Consider the following 23,629-nt stretch of genomic DNA (forward strand, 5'->3'; position numbering starts at 1 on the left):
ATCTCAGTCTGTGGAACTGATATAAATCTTGAGCAAAGAAGGAGATGGGAATTACATTTTAAAACGGCAGGGATTTTTTTCACTTGAATTTTTATGCGTCATTGTAATTGGAAATAAATATAACTTGCATTATCTGTGGTTGGGATGAAATGGGCCATTACAAGATGGATGACAACTCAAGAATTTAAGAGAAAAAAAAAGTGTGCTTTAAATAAAATTAGAAATTATATTTTCATTAAGGGAAGCAGCATATGAGCCATGGATTGGTGAATGGGTATGGTATGTTTTGAATAAAAATGTAAAATGATTCTTTGTTGATTTAAAATGAAAAATTACCTCATTATGGAAACTAATTTGTAAAGCATTTATAAATGCCTTAATTTAATTCCCAAATTAGAGAAAGCTTTTTTAAAAAATTGAGGTGAAATTCACATACCATAAAATTAATTACTTTAAAGTGAACAATCATTGGCATTTAGTACAGTTCACAATGTTGTATAACCAGTACCTCTAGTTTCAAAACATTTTCATCACTCCAAAATAAAACCCTGTCACCAATAAGCATCCTCCTCCCATTCTTCCGTTCCGTTGTCCCCTAGTAGCCACCAATCTGCCTTTTATTTCTGTGGATTTACCTATTCTGGGAATTTCATACAAATGGAATTATACGGTATGCGATATCTTGTGTCTGGCTTATTTTACTTAGCGTAAGATTTTTGAGGTTCATCCATCTTGTATCATGTATCAGTACTTCATTCCTTTTTAGGACTGAATAATCCATTGTATGGATATACAACCATTTATTTATCCATTTTTGTATATTTGGGCAGGTTTCAATTATTCTGGGTATATACTAGAAGTCATATGGTAATTTTATGTTTAACTTTTTGAGGAACCACCAAATGTTTTCCAGATAAAGCTTTTGAATGTAATTGGTTTGGAAGTTGATTGGGGCTGACCCAGCTACCACAGATGCTAACCCTCACCCTTAGTTTGTCTTTCAGCGTGTCAGCAAGAGAGGTTCTTTCTTATGAGCTTTCTAGTGATTGCAAGCCAGTTCCACTATTCCTTAGAATCTAGAAAAAATGGCAGAGCTGCTATTTTCCATAGTGATTCCTCTCTGGGGTGATTGTTGTTATTAACTCTAGGGTCAGATTATATTACTAAGGGGGATGATCACAGGATAAAAGATAGATTATAATACTCAATATTTACACAAAGGTTTTTGTTAGATGACAAAACATTTTCAAGCACTAAGGAAGCTGTAACTGGGCTTGGGAGTCCTTGAATTTGCTCTTAACTCTGCCAGATTCTCTGTGTTATATAGCCTTTAAAAGTCCTCTTACTCTTAAACAATTTTGCCAAGTAAAATTCTGCCTCTTGATCACGGTATAGTTTTTGAATTTCAAGCTGACTAAAGTGTTGTATTTACAAATTAAAGTTTCAATTCTGGATATATCTAACAGCCAGACCCAAAGCATTTTAAGTAAGTAATAAGGACAAGTCAAGTCTAAAGATTTTTTTTAATTGAGACAGGGTCTTACTTTGTCACCCGGGCTGGAGTGCGGCGGCATAATCATGGCTCACTGCAACCTCAACCTCCAGGGCTCAAGCAGTCCTCCCACCTCATCCTCCAGAGTAGCTGGGACTGCAGGCATGAGCCATTGCGCCCAGTCTCTGAAGATCCTTGATCTAGAGTGAGGGACTTTTTTAGTAGACTTTAGTAAATTTTATGAAACGTAGAACAATTTAGATGACAAGGAAGGAGAGATTTTGATATAGGAGACGTTTATAGTATTTAATACCCAGTCCAATGAGAGAGTTCCTGAAAGACTCTACAAGCCTTCTCCTAGCAACCCAGAGAAGTTTAGTTCCCACAGACTACAGTTACTGAAGATTGACTCTAAATCCTAGCGTGTTTTTTTTTTTTTTTTTTGAGATGGAGTTTTGCTCTGTTGCCCAGGCTGGAGCGCAGCAGCGCGATCTAGGCTCACGGCAACCTCTGCCTCCTGGGTTCAAGCAATTCTCCTGTCTCAGCCTCCCCAGTAGCTGGGACTACAGGTGCCCGCCACCACGCCCAGCTAATTTTTGTACTTTTAGTAGAGACAGGGTTTTACCATATTGGTCAGGCTGGTCTCGAACTCCTGACCTCTGGTGATCCACCCGCCTTGGCCTTCCAAGGTGCTGGGATTACAGGCGTGAGCTACCGTGCCCAATCCAATACTTCTTTCATATATGAAAGCAGTATATACTCTTTCTTCACTCTTGTCTCACTCAGAATAGGTGAAACACTCAAATCTCCCATGTAGTATGGGGTCGGGGTGGATGAAAGAAACCTCCAGTCCAAGGAACCTCTCTGAAACTGTCTTAGGGCCACAGAGCCATGATCATGCCACTACATGCCAGCCTGGGCAACACAGCGAGACCCTGTCTCAAGAAAAGTGGGGGGTGGGGCATAGAATTAAACCTGTTGTCACTGCGTTATCATAAGTGTTGTTTTTGTATATTTGGCTTTAAAAAGAAAATCAAGCAATACTAAAGGGCCTTCCCAGCCCTATTGCTAGCCAGATCATTTTCCTTCCTAGATGAAAATACTCTTGATACAGTCTCATACTCTTCTCATAAGTGGCTGAGAAATCTTTTTGTATGTGTCTCTCTCATATACTTTAAAAAAAAATACAAAATGGTAGAATACTCAACACCTGTTTGGCATATATTGCTACCATCCTTAGTCACAGCTGTCACCAAAGGTACTGTTTTTATAAGGGGAAAATAGAATACTGATCTCCAACTAAGAAATCATAAATCATCTATTTATCATCAATTATTGAACAGAAATTTTCCTTTTGTCACCTGGGTATTTGGGGCTGATATATCCTCTAATTAGTTATATTAGCATGATGTAACTAAGTACTGTGAAATGGGAGGGAGGCAGAATTTTTAGTGAGCAGGTTTCCCATGCCATTAGCTGCGTGACCCTGGCAAGCCATCAGTTTGTAAGATAAGAACAATAGGACCTTTTCCCTATAGAGTATTATGAAGATCAAGTGAGACATAGAAAAGTAGCCAAATGCTATACAATTGTAAGTTACTCTTGGTCTGTTAAAATTACCCAACAAAACCAGGTTCAAAGATCCAGGTTTCAGAGCTAGGTTATAAGCTTTTACTTCCAGAATGTGATCTTGCTTTATATGTAATATGTCTTTATTGATCTCTGCCCAGATATTATCTTACAAAATAAGATATGAGTCTGTATAACCTACATTTTCTTAAAGAATTAGTCTTAACTTGTAGCCATAGAATGATTTTCATGAAAAGTATTAAATTATTGAATGCCAAGCATGAAATGATAGGCAGACAAGAAAATTAATCTTCCACCCAAAAATGTCCATAATTACTATCTATCTACTAAGAAGGACGCTACTTCACACAGCTGGAGCTGATAATCAGTTAGTACAACCCCACTCTGATGTCAGAGCAGTTATTATAGCAGGCATACTCTGGTTTTCACTAAGTACTTTTTTTTCTTTTTTTAAGAAAGGCCATCCTGTTTTAAAGTAACATGACAGTTTTGGAGGAGGAGTATTTATAAATCCTGCAGTGGCAGAGTTAAGACAGGAAACCACATGAGGGATAGAAAATGAAATAACTTAAGAAATCTTTAACACCACTGTAAATGGAGTTTAGTTATGATAGTATATGTAAAAGTAAAAAATACAAATATGTTGGGAACATCTTGGAAACTCTTAGCTTCTTGGAGAGGCTGGAGATTGGAAAAAACTGATCTGCTTCCCCTCCTTTATTCCACGTCCATCTCCAGAAGACAACCTTGTGCTGGTTTGTATCTTTGTGCTTCTCTAGGAGACTACCAAAAAAATTCTTAGAGCTTAGCTCATGTAGCTCAGTAAAACAGGTGCACCTAGGTATTTCAACAAAACAAGGCACCATGTGATTTAAAGACGTTTTTGTTAGCCAGCTATGTTAATTTCCACTGTTTAAAACACACATAAATATTTTTCGTAAATGAAACTATCAGAGAAAATGAGACCTTTAAGCATGTAAGAACATCTGTAAACAGCAATGAGTGAAAAAATGAAGAAACTTTCCTAATTGCTTTAAGTTTGTTTGTAATTTTAATGGAAAGAAAACGAAGTAGGCGTAAGACAAAATCGCAGGAATCCAACTTGGTTAATCTCCTAGGATTGATAACGTAAAAATGTATATCTTTTTAATATAAGCCATCTATCTCATTCAGATACCACAGAGAAAGTAAGCTTGCACACTGGCTGAATATTTATTCTTGGGGGGAGGGAGAGTGATTTGGAGGCTAGTTTGATTAAACTAGCAGCCTGAAGAATATTTATTTAATTGGTAATATTACTAGACCTGGAATGTAAAACCAGTAAAGAGAATAGGAAGACTGCATGTCGAACTCATTTGGTAAGTTTAAATACAGTCATGTATCGCTTAATGACAGGGATACACTCTGAGAAATGCGTCGTTACGCAGTTTCATCATTCCATGATCATAGGGTATACTTACAGAAACCAAGTACACATCTAGGCTACAAACCTATATAGCATGTTACTGTATTGAATACTACAGGTCATTTTAACACAATGGTAAGTTTTTGTGTATCTAGACATAGAAAAGGTAATGTGTTATACTATGACATTACCATGGCTACCACATCACTAGGCAATAGGAATTTTTTAGCTCCATTATACTGGGACCACTGTCATATATGTGCTCCATCATTGACCAAACATCATTATGTGGTGCATGACTGACACAGACATACATAACCAGGAAGGGTCACCTACTTGTCTACTGTGCCTCATGTGGTTATGGTTGTTGTTCCTCTTCCAGGGAGATACAGTTCAGAGAGTGACGTGTGGAGCTTTGGCATCCTTCTCTGGGAGACCTTCAGCTTAGGGGTTTGTCCGTACCCTGGAATGACAAATCAGCAAGCAAGAGAGCAAGTAGAAAGAGGTGAGCCAAGTACATTCATTGTTAGTGTTCATGTCCAGCCCCAGGGGTAGGCAGTGCTTATAGTGTGTCTGCTTGAGGAGGGGTGTGTTAAATACTGTTTGGTTGTGTTATGAGACCATCTCTGGGGTTCAGAAGCAGATTTATCTAACATCTCTGCTCTTTATCCAAACACTTTGAAGGATTTCAATGCGAGAGAGAGGTATATAGGCTTTTCTTCCACCCTTTCCCTGTCTGGCATGACAGCTGCAGGATTGTGCTGTTCACTGTCGTTAAGAGAAATAGGGTGGTGTTTCTCAAACTCTTGTATTCTATGCCAGATAAACCTCCTTTTAAATAATATTCCCAATTGAAATGCAGTTAGTCTTCAGGAAGTCTTTGAGAATATGACAACATTGTAGCACTTCTGAAGAAACCCTTTGGGGTTCCTAGACCATAGATGGGAATAACTAAGTAATGGTGACAGGCTTGCATGCACTTGTGTAGCATACAGTCTCGACAAAAAGAAAGCTCGTGATAAAATACTGTGCCCTAATGTCTGGTCCCCAGTGAGGGGCATGGTTGTAGAAGTGGATGAAGGAAGATGCCTTTCTAACTTCCTTTCTACCTTCTCCTACCTTTACACACTACCCAATGCACTGCTGAAACACTGCCAACCAACAGACGGTAAAAGAATATGACTCATATTCATTTTTATTTCCCTATTGAATTCACATTTATAAAATCCTCATATTGAATTCACATTTATAAAATCCTCATCTTCTCTTCATCTTGAAAAACACAGATGATTTTTTAAAACTGTTCACAGGATCTAATTCTGAAAGTGAATACTTAGAGCAACTAAAATATGCATTTGTATTGTATCTTACATCAGACTTTCTGAGAAATGAACAAATAAAAAATGTTCTTTGAATTAGAACTCTAAGACTCTGTAATATTGAATTCTGCATCACCTGTAGAAAATAAAAACTCAGCCTCCCCAGAAATGGATGTTTTGTTTCCATATAACTACAACATAAGGTACCAAAAGTTAATAACTGCATAATGCCCTGTGTGAACATTTTGTGTCTTACCTCCATTCTAAATTCTGTTCTCCTTCTCTTGGGTCTTCAGGATACCGGATGTCAGCTCCCCAGCACTGTCCAGAGGATATTTCCAAAATCATGATGAAGTGTTGGGATTATAAACCTGAAAATCGCCCTAAGTTCAGTGAACTTCAGAAAGAGCTCACTATCATCAAGAGAAAACTCACATAGTGACAGGATGGCGCCAAACTCAGCCTTCAGGACTCTGTCCTCCAGCAGAGTAACATTATTGTTCTCATTAACAATGAATTTATACCACATTACCTTCGACAGTCTTCTACCATTATTTTTTATTAACTGGGTGTTTTAAAAGTACGTTCCACTTGTAAAAAGTCAAAGGCAAATTTGTTAAAGAAATAGGCAGTCCTACCAAGGGCTTTCTTAGCTAACCATAGCAATCCTACCATTTCAGGCCATTGCAAATAGAAAAGCACAGGCTTCTAAGTGTGTGAAGGATAAAAGATCTATCCTATCCTTTTCACACCTTGTTTCTACTTCAGGCACAGTTTGTAGGCTGCCATCCTATGCCACAGACCCTACTCCGTTGGTGCTATAAACAGCATTGGTAATGCCATGTTTGCAGGACATGTTCCAACCACAGCTGGCTTTCACCTCTGCCAAAGCAGGATTATATTTGTAAACAAACAAACAGAATTTTATATTGGGAATTATTTGGACCTCCTGAGATTTTTCTTTTCTTTCTTGCCAGGTATAAGCCCAATGTAAGAATCATCATGCTCCTACATTATTTGTAAGGTTGTCATTTTCCTCCTCCTTTGTCTGGGCATCAGAAAACAATGCACGTAGGTCGGGCACGGTGGCTCACGCCTGTAATCCCAGGCATGTAATCTCATGCCTGGGATTACAGGCGTGAGCCACAGTGCCCAGCCCCCTCCCTCCTTTGGGAGGCTGAGGCAGGCGGATCACCTGAGGTCAGGAGTTCGAGACCAGCCTGGCTTGCATGGTGAAACCCTGTCTCTACCAAAAAAAAAAAAAGAAACACACACACAACGCATGAAACGTCGTCAAAGTTAGAGTTGAGGCAGTTGCTTTTCAAGGATGTACAGAGAGCTGTGAAGCAAGAAACAGATTTGAACAGGAGGGTGGGCTGGAGAACAGAGCAGCTAAAGAATGATTAACAGAGTAAAGAAGAAAGTGAAAATATAAAACCACCTTATCAGAGTTATGCCTTTCTAAACATCTAAACAAACAAACATTCACATATTCTATTCTAAAAACACATAATAATACATATTCTATTTTATGGTCTGAATTTACCAGAAAGGTCCTAAGAAAAGTTTCAGGAGTTCGTAGAGTCCTCGTAATGGCAACAAAAATTTTGAGAGAAACTGCAAAGCACAAATCCACAGAAATAACAGCATACTTTCAGTTAAGCATTTTCACCTTAGAGGGGGCATTCCAAAATGTAATTTCCTTTATTTGTACCAGTTTTTAGAGCTGTCAGAATTTCATGATTCTAGTTCACCAACACATTCACGTGTGTACATGCGCGTGCACACACACCACCAAGGTGCAAGACAGATGTGAATGAAGTAGACAGTCTAGAAGTCAGGTGAATATTAATGAGAAATATGACATAGGGACAGCCCTCCCATTTCTACTTCCACCTTCATTGACCATTATACTGCCCCCTGGACATTCTTACCATTAGCTGACAGGTATGCAAGCAGAGTGCTGAAGATGTCTCATGTGAATAAAATGTAACTCACTCACTCAGTTAAAACTAGGATTCTGTATCTTAACTCTTATCTAGGGAACTTACTTACTTACCCCATGATCTGTATATAGTTGCCTCTCAGGATAAATGCATATATAGAAGATGGTCATGCTCAGGGCTAAATATGTTCTGGAAGCCTTTTATAAGTTCTCAGGCCTGTGTCCTGGTAAACATTACCTTAGTGATTATTTGGTCTGCATTCATTGGAAGAGCTTAGGGATAGAAAATGCCTCCTGCCCTCTCCAGCTGTTTGCTGCCTGTACCATCGCACAGAACTCACACCAGTACTTTAGAGTATGAAAGATAATACTGAAGAGAAAAGTGACTTGTATCTAACATTTCAATCTCCTTGCAGATTTCATACATACTTAATGATTAGTACATTCAGACTAAAGGGAAATTTCTTTTGATGGCACGTACTATGGTAAATCAAAGCGCAAACTCAGAAGTGCTATGGTATTGAGGCACTTACCAACCTTCAAAAGTAAGAGTAAAATGGGATATTCCTACCCTTTTTTTTAGTATTTCTAAGTGAATCTCTGTAATATTCTTTGTCTGTTTAAAGAAAACAGCCTCCCATCTCATAGTGGCTTCATGCTAAGCTCTCAGCAAGGAGAGAGAATGATGGTTTTGGCTTTAGTTTTATGAACAAGACCTAAAGCTTAATCCTGACATTCTGGTGTTAAGAATGAACACAGCATTGATATTTCACTTATCCAGGCTGTTAGAATTTGCAGTTCACATCATTACTCTGTGCTTAAATTTAAAAAGCTTTTCAAAACATCGTGACATGTGTAGCATTTAAATTCCATTTTATTCTTTGTCCTAAAGCAGGCAGTGGTATAGTTCAGGATTAATAACTTATTGGGAGTCTCTCAGTCATATAGAATATTAAATTTAATATAGTCACATGCATTAAGAAAAACTTACGCAAACAGTTTTTCACTGTTAATTTTGTTGTGCTTGAAGCATAATTTATTCATCCCTTCTGTCACTGATAATTAATTATTGGAATTATATACTTTAGGAGGCTAATCCATGCCCAGGAAGCACGAACATACTGTTCAGAATGTGCAAGTTGATGTAGGGAAAGGAAGATTCAGAAATGTACAAAATCCTGTGATTTGTTTAGTAAGAAAAGAGTTGTAACCAAAATTTCTTCTGGTCCGGATGTAATTAGTCCAGTCACAAATCTTTGTGTTGTTAATGGATTATTCAAGATATATATATATATTCTTACTACTGCATAGTTCCTCTCATAAGTCCTTAAATTTATTAAAAGGGGGAGGTAAACACAAGCAGTCTGTGTCTCACTGGTCACTAAGGGGCCTTTATGAGACAGTTTAGGTTGTTCATCATTTCACAAGGAAAGAAATTTTTCACTGTTAAATTAACATTTATTACCAACATGTGAAACCTAAAATTAATTTTGCATTCCATGTAATCTAAGGCCAAAGCCAACATATTCTTTCTCTTCTGGGAAAATAAAATTGACAGGTTTTGTTTAAACTTCAGAAACTGAAGCTTTATTTCAGCCTGTCCTGCCATGAGGTCTCCAGTGAGAGGTCTCCAGTGAAAGGTCTCATGTAATTGTTTCTCTTTTATCTCCCAAATTTAATGTGGGCAATAAAATTCTCCTTTCGTAATTCACTGTTTTATTACAAATACGATATTACTGAAACATCTTATTAGCAGATAAGTATAGACCAGGAGCCTAACTGTGTTAGATATTTTCAGTGCACATTTCACAGTTGTTTTTCATTTTAGGATTATTTTGAGAAGAAAAAATGTTTTGTAATTGAAATAGTTTTAATTTCCTTTAAACCATAATTTGGTTTTTCTATCTATATTATATTCAGTTCAGTTTTCCCATATAACTTTTGTGAAGATTGGCTAGTACCACAAAATAACTATGGCTTCACAATACTAGTGTTAGATTATGTCAAGAAGAAAGTGTTTTAGTTACAACATACGCCACCCACTGAGGACCTTGTAGTGGGATAAACAAAAATTAAAATGCAACAATCCAAATAAATTATAATGTAACAATACAAATATCTGAATCATAAGTCACAGTTTTTCAGGGTTCTTTCAGTCACACCACTTTATAATTAATTCTGGTGAGTCATCAGATGTAGGAATGTACCTGAAAACCTTACTTAGTATACTGTGTACACTGTTTAATGGCCATGCATCTTTTGAAGTTTGATATTTTCTGAAAAAGCATTGTTTGCCTCAGCCCTCTTCTTTTTACGTATACTCCATTTATCATTGATATTTTAGATGTTTCTTATCAACAAAATTGGCTGCCCTGGTTAGTGCTGAGTCATCGCAAGACTTGCTTTTGCATTTAGGAAGCCACACCCTCCCACAAAACAGAACAGTGCAAAATAAGCAGCAGAGAGACAGACAGTTGGAAAAGACATGTTTTCTTTAGGTATTAATATCTTAATTAAATGGAATCAGATTTTGTATGGAAATGAGTTTATATTACATTTCCATTATACTAAGTCAGTGTGAAAGTTTACCATCAAAATAGCGTTACTTCTTTTATGACTAACTCTGATTTGCTTATACATATCAGAATGATATTCATTAAATATTTTAATTTCATTTATTTTTCTATGTTTTGATTAGTTTCACATCAAGTCTGAATACTATATTTTGGAAGAATCCAAAACCACATATGAAGATACTGATTTTAAAAGTCAGGATTTCATGTACCAAGAATGACCTACTTGAAGGAGATTTTGCTACACTCTTAGAGTCCCAAAAATTCCCCTTTAAAAAAAATGCTGTCCTACAGAAGGTGTATAAACTATACCTTAGCCATAATTCAATTTAATGAAATACTACCCCATTAAAAGCCATCCTCCTGCCTCATACCGATTCAGAAATTAAATTCTGAACTTTTAGTGTAGGCATTAGGAATCACTTAGCCACTTAATAAGGACTGAGATTCTTGGGTGGCAGAAAAATCCTGGTGTGCTAGATTCTTAGTCACTTTAAACTGCATAGAAGTAATGAGCATAGGCTTCAGTATATTTAATAAGGTGCTGAGGCAGCAGATTCAAATGCAAAAGAGGGAGGAACCAGTTATTCCAAGGCAGGATGATGCACCCCCACACAGAGTGTGGAAAAATTAAAGTGAAACAAAGATTTGGACAGTGTCATTAGGAAGCCTGAGGAGAACATGCTACAAGGCCAGATCCTGTCCTATGGAAAATAAAAAAGATCAGCAGAACTAAAGCAAAAGCAGTCATCTCCAGTGTGTGGGCCTTAGCAAAGAGTAAACCAAATACCTCTCCTTGTGTTAGGAGCACTGTTATATTCCCAGCTCAGAGATGATTGTGTGCTGGGAAATGCTTATATTCATTATTTCCCAACTAATGCATTTGGACATATGTATTCCAGTTTTTCAAAGACACTACCCAAAGCTTCTTTACATTTGCATTGGTTATATTTAATATTTCTTAAGCTAAGATCACTGATTATCCACACGTTATTAGAAATCTTTGGTTACAGTGAGGCTTAACCTGGGCTAAAGTCTCCTAAATGGGACTACACTTAGATCCGCCCTATTTCACCTTTGGACTAACGTTGACTAAATGGCTCCTAGAGTTACCCACAGAGGGAGCTTACTATGATGAGAGCTACTGTGGGGAAACATAGTATTCAACAGAGAAATGGAAGAATACAAGTAGCAATGTTCCTTGTCTTCAATAACATTTGAGGGAAAGGAATCTAGAAATCCTAAAGCTTAGTCAGGGTGCCTAAGGTAAGACACAAAAAGAAAGAGACATCCAGAAAGGAAGGTTGAAAGGAAATGAAGGGCAGTAACAAAGCACCAATGTAAAATGACCCATAGCCAACAATAAATGCAATAACAATAAAGGAAACTAACCCTCACAAAGGGTTTGAGGAGCTTCCTGCTGTGTGTCCTTAAACAGTGCGTGCCTCTTAAGTCTCTACAACACTTTTTTAAAGGGCATTGAATTGGACATTGGTTTAATTTTTACCTACGCTCCCTATAATCTCAGGAGGTAACCATTATTTAATCAGAATTACCCTTGCTCTGTTTATCTGTGAGGCCTCAGACACAACGGTGGTTCAGCCCTCTCCCTAAGCAGTAGCAAGCTGAGTAATGGCACACATATGTCTAGGATAGCCAGCATTCAGGAAAATTGCTGTGAACCTCCTGTTTTTAATTTTAATATAGAAAAAGTCTTTCAGGTTTGTGACACGAAGACAGATTTAGCTTCCCACTTGTCAGCAAATTTGTAAAAACCTCAAAACAAATGAATATTTGGAATTCACTCTAAGAGATACAAATCCTGAATTTCTAACTATCTTCTCAAATATTACTGAGGCCAGCAAGATGCAAGTGTTCTACAAAATAATGAACTGTTCTAAGTGACAGTGTTGATGCTGGAAGTGGAATGTTATGTTTTCGCTCAGCTGTATTCATTCAGAAAGTTTTTCTTGAACATCTGCCACATGAGGTGCAGAGAATACTACCAGGTGCTAGTTTTTCCAGTATTTGACTTCTGATTACTATTTCCTTTTCTCATCTTTAGTTTTTCAAGATTTTGCTTTACCAAAATAGTAAAGCCTTTATCATCAGCTTATATTGAATAATGTTGTAATTGGTTTCAATCAAAGTTTCTCCTCAGGTACTTGGGGGCCCCTAGCCTTCTAAGGAACTCCCAGGCACCTACTTAACAAGGCCAGCTACACACTCAGTATGTGATAAGCCCCATGATGGATGCAGGTTAGAATTCAAAGACCTGGTTGGAGTCCTAGATGTGGAGACAGGATGATCAGGTCACACTTGTTAGATGACTAACACTATCAGTAGAAGCTCTTGAGAGATTTTCCTAACGCAGCAAGATTTCTGTGAGTAGAGGTATCCTGGGAGGTATCCTGGGAGGCAGCCTATTGACTTGACCAAGTAAGCTGATCAGGTGGCCTCCTCTACCCACTAAAGAAATGTGTAAACACTAGCAATAATTGCTTTATCTTAAACTCCTGGACATACTCAGTTCTTCCATTCCACTGTTCTATTGCCAATACCTTTTGTTGTTTTCTTCACACTCCTCTTGGCAGCAAATGTCTGAAAGTATTTCAATTGTGTAATGTTAAGGAGTTTTTTCATAGCTTCAGAAAAGAGGGCAGCAAATATGAAGCCTTAAGTTCAAAATAAGTCATTCTACCTAGAAATACAGACCCCAGAGCACATTGCATGAAAATACCTGTACTCTGCAGTTCCTCAAAGCAGTATTCTTCCTGAAAAGCCAAACACCACACCTATTTTCCTATTTGCTAAGAATCAGAATAAGCACGTTGTAAATAGTATCCAAAGCAGATTCTAAAATGACATAGTAAGAAGCCAGATTCAAATTGTAACCAAAGAAGACAATAGAAATCCCACTTTACCCCACTGTCATCAGTTAGAACACCCTTGCAAAAACTGTAACCACTTAAGCAATTCATCTGATCCCAGAAGATCATACCTTCTTTTGAAAGTATAGGACAGATATCAGTGGGAAACGTCGGCGTTCTGAGCAACACAGGATAAATGTAGGAGGGCCTTAAAAAATAAATCTCAATTCATACACTGGAGCAGCAAAAAACTGAGCAGGAAAGGAAACAGAATCCAAAGTCATTTTTCATATAGCTGTTGTCAAATAGTATAACCTTGGTGTCTTCTTTGAGTTGCCTGGACAGTATTTATGAAACAAAAAACTAAATGCCCCCCATTTGGGGACGGGGGGAGGGGTTCAGACCTCTAACCTGGATTCAGAGCCTTAGAGGCCGAGAGGGAATCTGGAATCTGGTATTACTGAGATCCTAGGTAAAAGAACCAGCCTGGCAGTCTTTCCCACCTCATTGGTCCGTGCTTTTATTTTTAAACCCAAAAGAAAGAAAGAAACACACCCTCTTATGTAGGAATTTCCCTTTTACAAATAATTTGACCTGGTAGAAATAAACTTGCCTGCCTGCTCTTAAATGCCAGACAGTTGGAAGCAAATGCCGAGGGAAAGGTGCCCAGAGCCATGCTTGATAGGACTTTGAATATTTTCTCCTTAATTAAAGTACGTTGCTTGTATTTAGACTATAAGATGCTATGGAGGTCTATCCCATGCCATGCCAATGTGAATTGCTTTGCTTCAGTAACAATCAGAAGACCAGTCCAACAGAAAATAACTTGTCATAATTCCACCTTAGATTCTAGACCTCTCATACCTGCAGTGTACAGAATATGTACATGTTCCAATGGAATTCACTATTTTTGGCTTTAGTGTCAAAGAGATTGGTTCTACAAGGTTCATCTGATTTCCCATAACAAGTAAATTTTATAATCCTATGATTCTAAATTCAATCCCCAATATAGATTCTAAGCATCAAATCAAAATCACAGACAAAGGGGAACTGGTCGAGAGGGGTCTTAGTTATTTCAAATCCATGACCAAAGTGTCCAAAGACATGAAACTCTTATACCTGCTGAGCATTTCACTTTACTATACAAAATGTCAGCTACCCAGTTGCATCCTGTGACATGATCAGACTGTCAATGTGGACCAGTGGCCAGGAGCATATTTATGGGCCATTTCTGTTCATCATTCTTTACAGAGCATTGAGGTTTCCCACTGAAACAGCTTCTTTAGTCAGACGTCTATAGATTTTACATAAATTTACATTTAAATGCATTAAGTTAGATGGCCCAATTGAGCATCTGAATGAATATAGTGGGGGTTGGTGGTGGTGCAAATTCTGCTGGCTTTATGTTATGGTTTTCTTCGTGTTTTTTCTTGGTTTTGTCTGGCTTCTTCTGGCAAGTGCCCTAAAAGACTGGAACACTGTATAAAGTCATAGACATAGAACCATATGGGAAAGCCCAGATGAAAAAATGGAAGAATAAAATCAAGTTGTCAAAGTTCCAGCAACAGCCCTGACTTCTTCAGGAATCCAAGCAAATTGAAAGCCAAGACAAAATGTACAAATGGTGCCCATGCCATTCATTTGACTGTGGGTGGCCCTCTAGTCTAGGGCTCTCTTAGTGAATGGTTGTGGAAATATGATTTTTCTAAGTTCCTTCCTTTTCCTTTTGATAGATGAGTTTGAGATGATGGAGTAGGAGTGGGGCCCTCAGGCACTTCTGGTAAAGACATTCCACCTGCAAGCAGCATTTTGAGTAAAGCACTGCTGTGGTTTGCCGATTTATGGTCCATTTAATGTTAGGCTAAAGCACCTTTAATCATTTTTGTTGTTTTAAGATAATGTATTTGTGAAGTGGATAAACACTGGAAATAGGGTGCTTCTTCTGGAAAGTTCAGTGTAAAACACAAACAAGGCTTTGGCGGGTTTATCTGGCTTTATAAACAAGTCTGAAAAATGGATGAAAGCTAAATATATAAAGCAGTTGGTTGTCTATCTTTTATCATTTTTACTCAGATCTGTATTTAACACTTATTTATTTGTTAGTTTTTACATTCAAAAGAAATACACTTTGAACTTTGGCTAACATTGTAGGATATTTTTTAATTGTTTCTACATTTTTAAAGCATGATTCATCATTTTTGTAAACTTAGATCATTTTTTAATTGTCTTTTCTTTTCCAATAGACCAGTTACCACTCATGTGTCTGCAGAACCTCTTTATTGTATTCCTATAATAAATGTAAAATATTTGTAGCAAACTGTGCCTTGTCTTATTTAATCTTTCCATCATGTTTATATTTCTCTTCCTTTTCCATATAAATATGCTCCAAGTGGAAGAAAAGGCAGGCAAGATTTCCATGGTAACTGGCCTCCTAGGGATATAACAGTGCATAAAAATTATTAGCTTTCAGTTTCTCTGTAATTAAGCTTATTAGTTCTGATGATAATGGGTGTGTGTTGCTTACAGTCCAATCACTGCTTCCTGTTTAGAAATCAAAACTGTAATGGAGCTCAAGTCCCAGTTATCTGGGTGGATTCGCTATTTGCGTGGATTTTTGTGTTTTACTTTTGGGTTTTTGGGTTTTTTTTTTTTTTTTTTTTTTTTGCTTTTCATAACAAGATTTGTTTGACATAACACAAGGATTTGCGGGAGAAAGATGGCTGAGAGATGTTTGGAAACAGAGGCTGAAGCCTGCTACCCTAGAGCAGTTCAGATGTGTATCCTTGCCTGTCCTGTACAGGACTGAGCTGGTCACAGAGCCATCGCTTAACTTCTAGGTACCCTTCAGTTGGCAAATCGGTAACCTTCCTAAAACTGCCGGCTGTTATTTACATGGATTTTGGGCAACATACACTTCCCTTACATTAAACCAAGCCCCCTCCTCATCCCTGAGCTTGGATTAGATGAGTCAACCTCCACTGCTTCTCAAAAACACACATGTTTACTGTTCATGGGGTAGGCCACAAGCTCCTTAGGATAGACAAAATGAATCCATACAATCCTCTTAACCTTCCTGCTTCCACAGCACCCTACCCAGAGCTGTGTGCTTCTGGGCCCTTGGTGAATTCATTTTCACCATAGCTCATAATTGTCTGTCTAGAGTTGCATCCTCTGCTCCAGCAGGTTTGATATCTGGCACAGTCTCCTAGACAACCTGTGCTTTCACTGACTTCAATTAATTAGGATGAGGTACATTCACCACCAAAGAAGGTTGGCTATCAGACTGAAATCCCATTCCCCAAGATGAATAAATAGCATCTCTGAAATCCTGGAGTTCTTTTGGTGTTTGAAGTCCTACACTTCGTTTCACACTCCCCCTTCTAGCTGATTTCTTCAGGCAAATGGTGATGTTGCTTGTTAAAAAAAAAAAAAAAAAAAAAAAAAAAAGGCCAGGCACGGTGGCTCACGCCTGTAATCCCACCACTTTGGGAGGCCAAGGTGGGCGGATCACGAGATCAGGAGATCGAGACCATCCTGGCTAAGATGGTGAAACCCCGTCTCTACTAAAAATACAAAAAGAAATTAGCCAGGCGTGGTGGCGGGTGCCTGTAAACCCAGCTACTCGGGAGGCTGAGGCAAGAGAATGGCGTGAACCAGGGAGGCAGAGCTTGCAGTGAGCTGAGTTCGCACCACTACACTCCAGCCTGGGAGACAGAGTGAGACTCCGTCTCAAAAAAACAAAACAAAACAAAAAACAAAAACAACAACACACACACACATAAATGTAAGAACTAGTTTCTATTAACAGCATCAATGGCTGCCCCTTCAATAAAAACTGAATCTAAATGAAGTGCTTTTTCAAACTTCCAAAATGTGGTGGTACACGTGGACTGGCCCACACACTTAGGTCAGACTTGTGATTATGCCCAAGGAAGGCTGATGGTGCTGGGTTCCAAAGCTGTCTGGTGTTGAAACAAGCACCAAGCTGGGAGCTGGGAAACTCAGGATCTCATTCCTGGTTGGACTCTCACTAGTCTGTAAACTTATCCAATTGGATCCTTTCTCCCAGGGCTGACACTTGAAGGACAAAGAACAGCCTGAGAGCATTCACTAAAGCAGAGTCCATTCTCCCTAGTAAAGTGTTGCTGTAATTCCTGCTACCCAACACTCCAGGACACCCTTAGTTTTTTCCATTCCCAAACCTCATTCTCTAGCCTCCCCATTAACTTTGGAGCCCATGTCAGCCTTGTAGCGAATTCCCTTTTTTTTTTTTTTTTTTTTTTTTAACCTAAGTCATCCATAGTCCATTTCTGTTGTCTGCAGCCAAGGATCCTGACCAATATGACGATCTCTAAGACACCTTCGAGCTTTGAGACTGTGTGATCTCCCAAGGCTTCTTGAGTCATTTCAGATATCCAAACACCAACGCTATATGAGGTGGGTTCTGTTCCTTTCCTCATACAACATGGCTGTTGAAATTCAAGAGTGATGAGAAAAAGGAAAATTCCCTAAAGTTTCCCTCACCTAATGTGCTGCTGATTATCCAAACTAAGCTTTTTCATATTTCCCCAGCTCTGGACTTAAGTAATTCAAAATTATAAATGTTTCTTTTGCAGTCTCCCTGTGGTAACCAGTGGTACCACAGGATAAATGATAAGATCAATGGACTAGACATTGTGATGGGCTAATTGATCTATCACAGCAATATAAATGCCAAGAATTAATAGAAAAACAAATGTCATAGGAAGCTGAGGTACTGACAGCCTTAGAAGCTCCCCTCTTAGGGCCTCTGTCTCCCAGCTTTCAGCAGGGCTTAGTCTTAGTCCACATTCAGAAGGGCCTTTCCCTCTCCTGAAAACAAACAAACTCACAAAATGTCTCCTTTTAAGCCTGGGTAAAAGCCAATAAATAAGCCTGTTGGTATTTCAACTCAAGCTGATTTCCCAAGTAGCCCCTGGAGCCCTTCCCTCTGCCTGCCACTCACTTCTTGTCCTCCTGCCAAATGTCAAGGAATGATTCTGACAGCGATGCAGCACAGCGGGTCTCTGAGGAAGGTACTTAGGATACATGAGCCTGATGAAAGGAAGTTAGTGGGGCAGGTGAAGGATTTGCTCACTGGTGACCCATCCAGGTTCACAGTCTTACAGCCTTAGAATAGTGAAGACCCTGTCACAGCCAGCCAAAAATGTAAGAAGCCGGCTTTTATTTTCTCCTCCAGGATTGCACACTTCATTCATCTTCCAGGGAATGCCAGCGATGGGGACATCTTACCTGTTTTTGGCATTACTTTTCATCTCGACAAAGTAAAGTGAGGGAGCAGCTGTCTGCTCCAGCCAGGTTAACCCCTAAACTTCTTTTCATGTCAAACTAATACCAGCCGCTCCCCTGTGCAGGTCTAATGCATATAGAAACTTAGAACTAGGAGACCAGCTGACTTCCAGCACCATCCCTACCCCTCTTTGCTTCACTGCTCCCTCCCATTCTTCCTTTTCTTCTCTCTCAGACACACCCTTTCTCCTGGTCTGAAATGAGTCCTCTATCAGTATACACCACAGTTTCTTACCCCAAAGCAGATGTTCCATGAATATAATCATTGGTCTATATTGGGAAGACCAGAGATCGTTCACAAGATTAATCATAAGGTAAAAGAGGAGAATTAGAATTAAAATCTAACTGTAAAGAGCAAAAAAAAAAAAAAAAAAAAAAACACACAAGTATCTGGAATATGTTAATGACTGCAATTAGGCAATAAATGGCACTGGATCTCTTGACAACCAAAACAAACAATGAGGAGTACTTATTTTAGAAAATGAAAAAGGCAGAAAAATGAATTTGGCATTTAACTTAAAAGGTCAGAAAAAAAGTTATTCTATGACTTTATGTTTTCTAAGATTGAACACAAGTCATGGCACGGATCCTCAGCTGGGAGCCATTCTGTCCCCCAGGGGACATCTGACGATGTCTGCAGACACATTTTTGTTGTCACTACTGGGAGTACTACTGGCATCTAGTAGACAGAAGACAGGAATGCCACTTAACATCCTCTAGTGCACAGATCAGACCCCACACCAAAGAATTATCTGACCCAAAATGTCAGTAGTGGCATGATTGAGAAACCTTCAGTCATGGGGCCTATCTGAATTTCTATCCAGAATCAGGGGAAGACTTTAACTGGACAAACTTTAAAGGAACAGGAGAAGATAAAAATCAGAATGTTTTAAAATGTATTTCCCAAAAGTTGACATATTTGATATATTGCTTACACAGAGAAACAATCTAGAGGATTAACGAAGCCAAGACTTAGTTCTTTAAGGCCAACCTCTGATGAGATTTACCAAGAAAAAAAAAAAAACATACTAGGAATTAAAAAAACAAAAACAAAAAACAGGTATAAAGAACTACAGAAACAGCAGTGATTGAAAAGGTAATAAATGAATACTATGAACTTTATGCCAATAAATTTGAAAACTTAAAAAGAATTGACATATTCCTAGGAAAAAATATAGTTTACCAAAGCAAACTCAAGAAGAAATACACATTCAGAGTAGTTCTATAACCATTAATGAACTGAAATCAGTAGTCTAAAATCTTCCCACAGCACTTATTTCAGGGAATTGAAGATTTATTTTTATGCATAAAGTTGTACACAAATGTTCATAGAAGCATTCTTCAAAACAGCCAAAAACTTGAAACTACCCAAAAGTTCTTCAGTAGGTGAATCATTAACTGTGGTATATCCATGAGATACTACTCGGTAATAAAAAGCAATAAACTATTGATACACACAGGATGAACCTAAAGAAAACTATGCTAAGAAAAAAAAAGCCAATCTTAAAGGGATAAATACTGCATAATTTATGTAATATTGATGAAATAACAACAGAGATAGAGAACACATCAGCAATTGCCAGGAGCTAGAGATGGGGAAGGGGTGAGGGTGGCTATAAATGAGTAACATGAAAGAGTCTTGTGCTGATGGTACAGTTCAGTATCATAATATAATGCTGGTTTCACAAGGCTACACATGATAAAACTTCATAGAGCTACATACACACAAACACATCAATGGGTGCATGTATAACCAGTGAAATTTGAATAAGCTCTATGGTTGTACCCCTGTCAAATTCTTGGAGGTGGCCAGGAGAAACACACAGATTTCCCTGTGCATTCCTTTGCAGCCTCTTGCAAATATGTAATTATTTCAAAGTGAAAAGTTTAAAAAATTATATAAGGAAGCAAGAATCTTCCCACAAAAACAATAACAGACCAAGAAGTATAGGATTTGGAGGTGATCCACCATGCTTCCAAGGGACAGATAATTCTTGCAAACTCTTCCAGAAAAAAAGAAAAAAAGATGACAATGACCCTTCAATCTATCTAATGAGATAACTTTGAAAACAAAGTACAAGGAAAATACAAAAAACTACAAGCCAATCTTAATCATGAATACAGATGAACTTCTCCCAAAGTAAAGGCAAAGTTAACTCAGCAATGAATAAAATATATAAAATATCAATTTTGAATTAGATTTATTCTAAGAATAAAAGGATGATTTTTATGAGTTATTAATATAAATTAGCACATTAACAGAACAAGGAAGAAAACACATAAAATTCTGCCAGGCAATCAAAAAAACTTAGAAAACTAGGGGAGAAATGTAACTTCTTTAAAATTATAAAAAGATCTACAAAAATCTACAGCAAACATTGGACACAACAGTGAAGCATTAGAAGCATCCCTTTTAAAATTAGGACCAAGAGCCACACATGATCGCTTGTGCCTATAAACCCAGCTATTCAGGAGGCTTAGGCAGGAGGATTGCTTGAGGCCATGAGTTGGAGACCACCAGCCTAGGCAACATAGTGAAACCCCATCTCTACCACACACACACACACACATGCACACACACACACACACACATACACACACACACAAATCAGGGACAAGAAAAGGGAACATCAACCACCATTTCTATCCATTCTTGTATTGGAAACTCCAGCCGGTACAGAAAGACAAGAAAAATAAATTCTGAATAAGGTGTAATAATTGGAAAGAAAACTTCATATTCACAGATAATATGATTGCTTACATTTTGAACCTCAGAAAACTAACACATTATTAGAGTGAATAAGAGTTTAGCTAAATTTCTAGATACAAGATCAACATGAAAAAAAAAAAATTTTCTGTATACCAGTCAAAGGAGAAGATACATGGTATTTTTAAGATACCATTTTTATTTAAAATTTAAATTTCAAAATTTGGTTGCAATAGCAACCAAAACTACAAGACACTCTGGAATAAACTAATGAAAGATATGTAAGCCCTTTATGGAGAAAGTTTTCAAAATGTTAAAGATGACCATTAGATAAATGGAGAGACATATCTTTTCATGGCTAGGAATACCCAGATACTGTAAAAATATTGTACATTTTTACTTAGAGTTTATAAAGATATTGTGCATTTTTACTCAGATATTATAAAACTATCAATTCTTTTTAAATTGACTACAAATAAAATGTAATTCTTGATGTCTAGGATTCCTTATATAAATTAAGATGATTCTAAAATGTATATGGAAGAACAAAGGATCAAGAATAGCAATGACACTCCTAAAGAGATGAGACTTACCATAAAGCTAGAGTATGGTATTAGCACAGAGATGAACAAGCAGGAAGATGGACCAGAATAGAGAGACCGAAAATAAACCCAAACAAATGCAAATATTTAATACATTGCAAAGACAGCACTGCAGATCAGTGGGGAAAAGATGGACTACTCATTATACGGTGCAGGGAGATTAGCTTACCCATATGAGGGGGAAATGAGCTTAAACTCTTACCTCATACTCTACATACTTAAAAAATGCCAACTAGATTAAAAGCTTAAATATAAAAAGCAAAACATTGAAACTTTTGGAAGAAAATACAGATATCTTTACAACTTTGGAGCAGAGAAATGATTCTTAAACAAGACACAAAAGGAAAAGACTTCTGAATACAATTACATTAAAATAAAACATGTAAATGCAGAGGAATCATGAAAAAGTGAAGACAAACCATAAACTGTTAGATAATATTTACAATACATGCAACTGACAAAGAATTAATCATCAGTAATATACAAAAGACTCCTGCAGATCAATAAGAAATGACAAACCACCCAAGAGAAAAATGAAACCCATTTCACAGAAAGATGAATGACCCATAAACACATGAGGGGGACAAAAAAACTCAACCTCTTTAGTAATCAGGGAAATGCAAATCAAAACTACAAGCACATAAAATTTGATTCCTACAAGGCTGGCAAAATTTAAAAGTTGGGTAATACCATGCGTAGATGAAGATAGGGAACAAAGAGTAATTCTTAGAGAGTGATGGGTTGTGCCTGTAACTCAGAAAATTCTTTCCTAGGTATACGTCTGAGAGAAATACTTGCACAAGTGTTCCAACAGGCATTCAAACACACAGTTCAGGCTGGGTGCAGTGGCTCACACCTGTAATCTCAGAACTTTGAGAGACCAAGGTGGGAGAATTGCTTGAGCCCAGGAGGTTGAAGCTGCAGTGAACCATTTTTGCACCACTGCCCTCCAGCTTAGGCCACAAAGCAGGACCCTGTCTCAAAAATTAAATAAATAAATAGAAAATAAAAGTGCATAGTAACACTGTTCTGTGAAAATAGAATAGAAAGAAATAGAAACAGACAAGAAACATGAAATGTTCATTAACAGGAGAATGGAAAAATAAATTGTGATATATTCTTATGGTGAAATACTGTACAGCAATAAAAATTAATGAGCTGTGTTTAGTAGAATCAACATGAATAAATCTCAAAAATAAAATTTTGGAGGCTTCTACTTTTGCTTAGGACATAGAAGCCACAAGAAAATGTCACTCTCACCATAAACAATGAAAAAAACCCTGAAAAATCCACAAAACCATAAATTTCTGTAGACCCCCAGAGAACTAATGTTGTAATATAACCAAGTAAATTAAATTGCAACGAGTAACACATCCTAGGAGAAGACATGAGACACACAAACTATTTCACTTTTGGCAGAGCACAGGAAGAAGAGATAGTCATATCTGCAGTTAAACAGAAAGCAACTGAAATTATAACAAGCACTTAAAGGCAAAGTATGAAATCATGTGGCAGTCTTGGAGCTCCAGCCACAAAGGGCATCTGCACCCACTTGCCATCTCTTCTCCATGTGTATCCACCAAGGTGCTCATGAGAGTGGGAGACCTGAGAAAGCCGTTCTTGGTGGCATGAGAGACTGCCAAGATTTGAGAGTAGAACAGAGGTACTAGGAGAAACCCATCTACAATCTTAACCCAGTGGAAATACAAGATTACAAGTGGTTGCTGCTAAAGGACAGGCAGGAACTTGGCCACCCCCTAAACATTATTCATTTCTGTGATTTAAAAAAAAAAATTTG

The 23,629-nt window shown here is 37.8% G+C and overlaps 1 protein-coding gene across 16 annotated transcripts in view, besides 3 other annotated features; it reads left to right on the plus strand.

Annotated features, from left to right (window-relative positions):
* The window catches only part of FER (FER tyrosine kinase), a 448,945-nt gene extending 433,434 nt beyond the window's left edge, over positions 1 to 15,511 (plus strand). For all 16 annotated transcript variants that reach the window (NR_146155.2, NM_005246.4, XM_011543269.3 and 13 more), the window contains 2 exons: positions 4,870 to 4,992; positions 6,103 to 15,511. Coding sequence is in view for 15 of the 16 variants with exons in the window: in NM_005246.4 (NP_005237.2) it covers positions 4,870 to 4,992; positions 6,103 to 6,245 (266 nt within the window). In the remaining variant the exon portion in view is untranslated. The remainder of the gene's footprint in view (positions 1 to 4,869; positions 4,993 to 6,102) is intronic.
* Positions 12,505 to 12,705: a silencer, noted in NCBI's record as "peak5411 fragment used in MPRA reporter construct". NCBI's record gives its function as "represses an SCP1 promoter by STARR-seq MPRAs in K562 erythroleukemia cells {active_cell/tissue: K562}" and the evidence as "EXISTENCE:reporter gene assay evidence [ECO:0000049][PMID:32103011]".
* Positions 12,745 to 12,945: a silencer, noted in NCBI's record as "peak5412 fragment used in MPRA reporter construct". NCBI's record gives its function as "represses an SCP1 promoter by STARR-seq MPRAs in K562 erythroleukemia cells {active_cell/tissue: K562}" and the evidence as "EXISTENCE:reporter gene assay evidence [ECO:0000049][PMID:32103011]".
* Positions 16,785 to 16,992: a silencer, noted in NCBI's record as "fragment chr5:108533816-108534023 (GRCh37/hg19 assembly coordinates)". NCBI's record gives its function as "represses an EF-1alpha promoter that drives an FKBP-Casp9 reporter gene in an ReSE screen in HepG2 liver carcinoma cells {active_cell/tissue: HepG2}" and the evidence as "EXISTENCE:reporter gene assay evidence [ECO:0000049][PMID:32094911]".

This window comes from Homo sapiens, chromosome 5 (assembly GCF_000001405.40).
Source record: "Homo sapiens chromosome 5, GRCh38.p14 Primary Assembly".
Taxonomy (NCBI): Eukaryota; Metazoa; Chordata; class Mammalia; order Primates; family Hominidae; genus Homo; species Homo sapiens.